Here is a 7,814-nt window from a genome sequence, read left to right as displayed (position 1 = left end):
CCAGTGAGGCCGGGTGCAGTGGCTCACACCTGTAATCCCAGCACTTTGGGAGGCCAAGGCAGGTGGGTCACCTGACATCAGGAGTTCAAGACCAGCCTGGCCGACATGGTGAAACCATGTCTCTACTAAAAATACAAAAATTAGCCAGGCGTGGTGGTGATCGCCTGTAATCCCAGCCACTTGGGAGGCTGAGGGAGGAGAATCACTTGAACCCGGGATGTGGAGGTTGCAGTTAGCCAAGATCGTGCCACTGCACTCCAGCCTGGGCGACAGAGTGAGATTCCATCTCCAAAACAAAAAATAAAAAGAATCCCCTCCAGTGAAGTCTCTATATGCAAATCTTCATGCCTTCCCACATGGCTCTATAGCAAGGCTCTGGTAAATTTAAAATAAGTGGCATGCAACACATGCAGTCCTTCCTATTACTTCCGAGACCATTTGTCTTATTTCCTTTCTAATATGCTTTGTGCCTGCTTTTCATTGTATTAGAGGCTAGTACTTAAGTGAAAATGGAGGAAAAAATAAACCAAAGCATTTGTATTGATTTATTTTGATCTGGGTCTTCAATCAAACTGCAGGTCCAACACTTGTGTTTTCAAGATGCTTTTTAGCCCCTGTTTTTTCTCCTCTACCCCTGTCCCATGAATCCAGGCTCCTTATTTTCCTGTTCCATTAAAAGGTTATTACCTACTCTGTGTGTTCTTTAAACTGAGGAGTCAGCAAAATCTTTTAACACAGTTTCATTTACCCTTCAATTAAGTTTAGACATGAGATAAACCCTATTATGACTTTGACCTGAAACCACCATGAGACCTGGAAACAAATTTTTAAACTTTTATTTGCTCTAATACACATATTGGTTCCAATTGAAAAGGCTAAACTTAATTTTTTTTCCAAGGAAACAACAATTTTTTAAACCAAGTTTTATTCTTAAAGCCCTAGAAAGTTTTAAATAGAGTTATAAGGGGATAGTGGGGGGAGGGGGAGAATGGAGTTATTACTAAATGTAACCAAAAATAAATGCTTTTCTCACCATTAGAATCATATACACCTCTCCCATACTCTCCACCTCTAATATGGGAAAGGAAGGCTTTGAAGCAAAGTCATATTATGTTAGAACTTGGAACCATTCATACCAGCCTCATTTGCCAAATGAGGAAACTGAGGTTCATAATGGATGGGTGCCTTAACAGTAATAATAACCAAGGAAACAAAAGCCACTATTGTGCACTTACTATTAGCTAAACAAAAACTTTGCCTACAGTATCTCACTAAGCCTCATTAACAGCCATCAGAGATGAGTACTATCACAAGCTCCATTTTAAAGATGGAAAAACTCTGTCTTTTTGCTGGCAAGATGGCCAAATAGGAACAGCTCCAGTCTGCAGTTCCCAGCAAGACTGACTTAGAAGGCAGGTGATTTCTGCATTTCCAACTGAGGTACCCAGTTCATCTCTTTGGGACTGGTTGGACAGTGGGTGCAGCCCACAGAGGGCAAGCTGAAGCAGGGTGGGGCATCGCCTCACCCGGGAAGCACAAGGGGTTGGGGAATTTTCTCCCCTACCCAAGGGAAGCCGTGAGGGAATGAGCCTGAGGAAACGTGCACTCCAGCCCATATACTGCACTTGTCCCACAGTCTTCACAACCCACAGACCAGGAGACCCCCTCTGGTGCCTACTCCACCAGGGCCCAGGGTTTCAAGCACAAAACTGGGTGGCCATCTGGGCACACACCAAACTAGTTGCAGTTTTGTTTGTTTGTTTGTTTTCCATACCCCAGTGTTACCTGGAAGGCCAGCGAGACAGACTGTTCACTCCCCTGGAAAGGGGTGCTGAAGTCAGGGAGCCAAATGGCCTGGCTTGGTGGGTCCCACCACCAAGGAGCCTAGCAAACTAAGGGCCACTGGCTTGAAATTCTCACTACCAGCACAGCAGCAGCCTGAGATTGACCTGGGATGCTCAAGCGCGGTGGGGGGAGGGGCATCCGCCATTGCTGAGGCTTGAGTAGGTGGTTTTACCCTTACAATGTAAACAAAGCCACCTGGAAGTTCGAACTGGGTGGGGCCCACTGCAGCTCACCAAGGCAGACTGCCAGATTCCTCCTCTCTGGGCGGGGCATCTCTGAAAAAAAAGGCTGCAGCCCCAGTCAGGGACTTATAGATAAAAAACCCCAACTCCCTGGGACAGAACACCTGGGGGAAGGGAGAGCTGTAGGCACAGCTTCAGCAGACTTAAACATCCCTGCCTGATGGCTCTGAAGAGAGCAGCGGACTTCCCAGCACAGCATTCAAGCTCTGCTAAGGGTCAGACTGCCTCCTCAAGTGGGTCCCTGATGCCTGTGTATCCTGAGTGGGAGACACCTCCCAGTAGGGGCTGACAGACACATCATACAGAAGAGCTCTGGCTTGCATCTGGCAGGTGCCCCTCTGGGACAAAGCTTCCAGAGGAAAGAACAGGCAGCAATCTTTGCTGTTCTGCAGCCTCCACTGGTGATACCCAGGCAAACAGGGTCTGGAGAGGACCTCCAGCAAACTCTAGCAGACCTGCAGCAGAGGGGCCTGACTGTTAGAAGGAAAACTAACAAACAGAAAGGGATAGCATGTCGACTCAAAGACCCCATCCGAAGGTCACCAACATCAAAGACCAATGGTAGATAAATCCACAAAGATGTGGAGAAACCAGCACAAAAAGGCTGAAAATTCCAAAAACCAGAACACCTCTTCTCCTCCAAAGGATCACAACTCCTCATCAGCAACGGAACAAAACTGCATGGAGAATGAGTTTGACAAATTGACAGAAGTAGGCTTCAGAAGGTGGGTAATAACAAACTCCTCCTAGCTAAAGAAGCATGTTCTAACCCAATGCAAGGAAGCTAAGAACCTCGAAAAAAGGTTAGACGAATTGCTAACTAGAATAACCAGTTTACAGAAGAACATAAATGACCGGCTGGAGCTTAAAAACACAGCACAAGAACTTCATGAAGAATACACAAGTGTCAACAGCTGAATTAATCAAGTGGAAGAAAGGATATCAGAGATTGAAGATCAACTTAATGAAAAAAGTGAGAAGACAAGATTAGAGAAAAAAGAATAAAAAGGAACAAACGAAGACTCTAAGAAATATGGGACTATGTGAAAAGACTAAATCTACATTTGATTGATGTACCTGAAAGTGACGGGAGAATGGAACCAAGCTGGAAAACACTCTGTAGGATATTATCCAGGAGAACTTCCCCAATCTAGCAAGGGAGGCCAACATTCAAATTCAGGAAATACAGAAACCACCACAAAGGTACTCCTCAAGAAGAGTAACCCCAAGACACATAATTGTCAGATTCACCAAGGTTGAAATGAAGGAAAAAATGTTAAGGGCAGCCAGAGAGAAAGGTCGGGTTACCCACAAAGGGAAGCCCATCAGACTAACAGCGGATCTCTCTGCAGAAACCCTAACAAGCCAGAAGAGAGTGGGGGCCAATATTCAACATTCTTAAAGAAAAGAATTTTCAACCCAGAATTTCATATCCAGCCAAACTAAGCTTCATAAGCTAAGGAGAAATAAAATCCTTTACAGACAAGCAAATGCTAAGAGATTTTTGTAACCACCAGGCCTGCCTTACAAGAGCTCCTGAAGGAAACACTAAACATGGAAAGGAACAAACAGTACCAGTCACTGCAAAAACATACCAAATTGTAAAGACCATCAACACTATGAAGAAACTGCATCAACTAAAGAGCAAAATAACCAGCTAGCATCATAATGACAGGGTCACATTCACATATAACAACATTAATCTTAAATGAAAAAGGGCTAAGTGCCCCAGTTAAAAGACACAGACTGGCAAATTGGATAGAGTCAAGACCCATCAGTGTGCTGTATTCAGGAGACCCATCTTGTGTGCAAAGACACACATAGGCTCAAAATAAAGGGATGGAGGAATATTTACCAAGAAAACGGAAAGCAAAGAAAAGCAGGAGTTGCAATCCTAATCTCTGATAAAACAGACTTTAAACCAACAAAGATCAAAAGTGACAAAGAAGGCCATTAAATAATGGTAAAGGGATCAATTCAACAAGAAGAGCTAACTATCCTAAATATATATGCACCCAATACAGGAGCACCCAGATTCATAAACCAAGTTCTTAGAGACCTACAAAGAGATGTAGACTCCCACACAATAATAGTGGGAGATTTTAACAACCCACTGTCAATATTGGACAGATCAACGAGACAGAAAATTAACAAGGATATTCAGGACTTGAATTTCGTTCTGGACCAAGCAGACCTAGTAGACATCTACAGAACTCTCAATCCCAAATCAACAGAATATACTTACTTCTCAGAACCTCATCGCACTAATTCTAAAATTGACACATAATTGGAAGTAAAACGCTTCTCAGCAAATGCAAAAGAACGGAAATCATAACAAACAGTCTCTCAGACCACAGTTCAATCAAATTAGAACCCAGGATTAAGAAGCTTACTCAAAACCGCACAACTACATGGAAACTGAACAACTTGCTCCTGAATGACTTCTGGGTAAATAACGAAATTAAGGCAGAAATAAAGATGTTCTTTGAAACCAATGAGAACAAAGACACAATGTACCACAATCTCTGGGACACATTTAAAGCAGTATTTAAAGGGAAATTTATAGCACTAAATGCCCATAAGAGAAAGCAGGAAAGATCTAAAATTGACACCTTAACACCAGAATTAAAGGAACTAGAGAAGCAACAGCAAACAAATTCAAAAGCTAACAGAAGACAAGAAATAATTAAGATCAGAACAGAACTGAAGGAGATAGAGACACAAAAAACCCTTCAGAAAGTCAATGAATCCAGGAGCTGGTTTTTTGAAAAGATCAACAACATAGATAGACTGCTAGCCAGACTAATAAAGAAGAAAAGAGAGAAGAATCAAATAGAGGCAATAAAAAATGATAAAGGGGCTATCATCACTGATCCCAGAGAAATACAAACTACCATCAGAATACTATAAACACTTTTATGCAAATAAACTAGAAAATCTATAAAAATAGATGAATTCCTGGACATATACACCCTCCCAAGTCTAAACTAGGAAGAAGCTGAATCCCTGAATAGACCAATAACAAGTTCTGAAATTGAGGCAGTAATTAATAGCCTACCAACCAAAAAAAGTCCAGGACCAGACGGATTCACAGCCAAATTCTACCAGAGGTACAAATAGGAGCTGGTACCATTTCTTCTGAAACTATTCCAAACAACAGAAAAAGAGGGACTCCTCCCTAACTCATTTTATGAGGTCAGCAGCATCCTGATACCAAAACCTGGCAGAGACACAACAAAAAAAGAACATTTCAGGCCAATATTTCTGGTGAACATCGATGCAAAAATCCTCAATAAAATACTGGCAAACTGAATCCAGCAGCACATCAAAAAGCTTATCCACGTGATCAAGTGGGCTTCATCCCTGGGAAGCAAGGCTGGTTCAACATACACAAATTAATAGACGTAATCTATCACATAAACAGAACCAATGACAAAAACCACAAGATTATTTCAACAGATGCCAAAAAGGCCTTTGACAAAATTCAACACCCCTTCATGCTAAAAACTCTCAATAAACTAGGTATTAATGGAATGTATCTCAAAATAATAAGAGCTATTTATGATAAACCCACAGCCAATATCATACTGAATGGGCAAAACCTGGAAGCATTCCTTTTGAAACCTGGCACAAGACAAGGATGCCCTCTCTCACCACTCCTATTCAACATAGTATTGGAAGTTCTGGCCAGGGCAGTCAGGCAAGAGGAAGAAATAAAGGGTATTCAAATAGGAAGAGAGGAAGTCAAATTCCCTTTGTTTGCAGATGGTATGATTGCATATTTAGAAAACCCTATCATCTCAGCCCAAAGTCTCCTTAAGCTGAGAAGCAACTTCAGCAAAGTCTCAGGACACAAAATCAATGTGCAAAAATCACAAGCATTCCTGTACACCAATAACAGACAAACAGAGAGCCAAATCATGAGTGAACTCCCATTCACAATTGCTATTAAGAGAATAAAATACCTAGAAATACAACTTAAAAGGGATGTGAAGGACCTCTTCAAGGAGAACTTTAAACCACTGCTCAAGGAAATAAGAGAGAATACAAACAAAGGGAAAAACATCCCATGCTCATGGAGTGAATCAATATCGTGAAAATGGCCATACTGCCCAAGGTAATTTATAGATTCAATGCTATCCCCATCAAGCTACCATTGATGTTCTTCACAGAATTGAAAAAAACTACTTGAAAGTTCATATGGAACCAAAAAAGAGCCTGCATAGCCAAAAGCATTCTAAGCAAAAAGAACAAAGCTGGAGGCATCATGCTACCTGACTTCAAACTATACTACAAGGCTACAGTAACCAAAACAGTATGGTACTGGTACCAAAACAAATATCTAGACCAATGGAAAAGAACAGAGGCCTCAGAAATAACACCACACATCTACAACCATCTGAACTTTGACAAACCTGACAAAAACAAGCAATGGGGAAAGGATTCCCTATTTAATAAATGGTGTTGGGAAAACTGGCTAGCCATATGCAGAAAACTGAAACTGGACCCCTTCATTACACCTTATACAAAAATCAACTCAAGGTGGATTAAAGACTTAAACATAAGACCTAAAACCATAAAAACCCTAGAAGAAAACCTAGGCAACACCATTCAGGACATAGGCATGGGCAAAGACTTCATATCTAAAACACCAAAAGCATGGCAACAAAAGCCAAAATTGACAAGTGGGATCTAATTAAACTAAAGAGCTTCTGCACAGCAAAATATCATGAGCATTAACAGGCAACCTACAGAATGGGAGAAAATTTTTGCAATCTATTCTTCTGACAAAGGGCTAATATGCAGAATCTACAAAGAACTTAAACAAAATTTACAAGATAGAAACAAACAACCCTATCAAAAAGTGGGTGAAGGATATGAACAGACACTTCTCAAAAGAAGACATTTATGCAGCCAACAGACACATGAAAAAATGCTCACCATCACTGGTCATTAGAGAAATGCAAATCAAAACCACAATGAGATACCATCTCACTCCAGTTAGAATGACAATCATTAAAAAGTCAGGAAACAACAGGTGCTGGAGAGGATGTGGAGAAATAGGAACACTTTTACACTGTTGGTGGGAGTGTAAATTAGTTCAACCATTGTGGAAGACAGTGTGGCGATTCCTCAAGGATCCAGAACTAGAAATAATATTTGACCCAGCAATCCCATTACTGGGTATATACCCAAAGGATTGTAAATCATTCTACTATGAAGACACATGCACGCGTATGTAATTGCAGCACTATTCACAATAGCAAAGACTTGGAACCAACCCATATGTCCATCATTGATAGACTGGATAAAGAAAATGTGGCACATATACACCATGGAAGACTATGCAGCCATTAAAAAGGATGAGTTCATGTCTTTTGCAGGAACATGGATGAAGCTGGAAACCATCATTCTCAGCAAACTAACACAAGAACAGAAAACCAAACCTGCACGTTCTCACTCATAAGGGGGAGTTGAACAATGAGAACACATGGGCACAGGGAGGGGAACATCACACACCAGGGCCTGTTGGGGGGTTGGGGGCTGGGGGAGGGATAGCATTAGGAGAAATAACCAATGTAGGTGACGGGTTGATGGGTGCAGCAAACCACCATGGCACGTGTATACCTATGTAACAAAACTGCACGTTCTGCACATGTACCCCAGAACTTAAAGTATAATAAAAAATTAAATTAAATTAAATTAAAATAAAATAAAGATGGAAAA

The 7,814-nt window shown here is 41.4% G+C and overlaps 1 annotated feature.

Annotated features, from left to right (window-relative positions):
• Positions 1,810-2,396: an enhancer, noted in NCBI's record as "H3K27ac-H3K4me1 hESC enhancer chr3:158708772-158709358 (GRCh37/hg19 assembly coordinates)". NCBI's record gives its function as "activates a minimal SCP1, AML or CMV promoter by ChIP-STARR-seq in primed H9 embryonic stem cells {active_cell/tissue: H9 hESC(primed)}" and the evidence as "EXISTENCE:reporter gene assay evidence [ECO:0000049][PMID:30033119]".

This window comes from Homo sapiens, chromosome 3, assembly GCF_000001405.40.
Source record: "Homo sapiens chromosome 3, GRCh38.p14 Primary Assembly".
Classification (NCBI taxonomy): domain Eukaryota; kingdom Metazoa; phylum Chordata; class Mammalia; order Primates; family Hominidae; genus Homo; species Homo sapiens.
The sequence above is the reverse complement of the archived record's forward strand: the minus strand, read 5'-3'. Positions and strand labels throughout refer to the sequence as shown.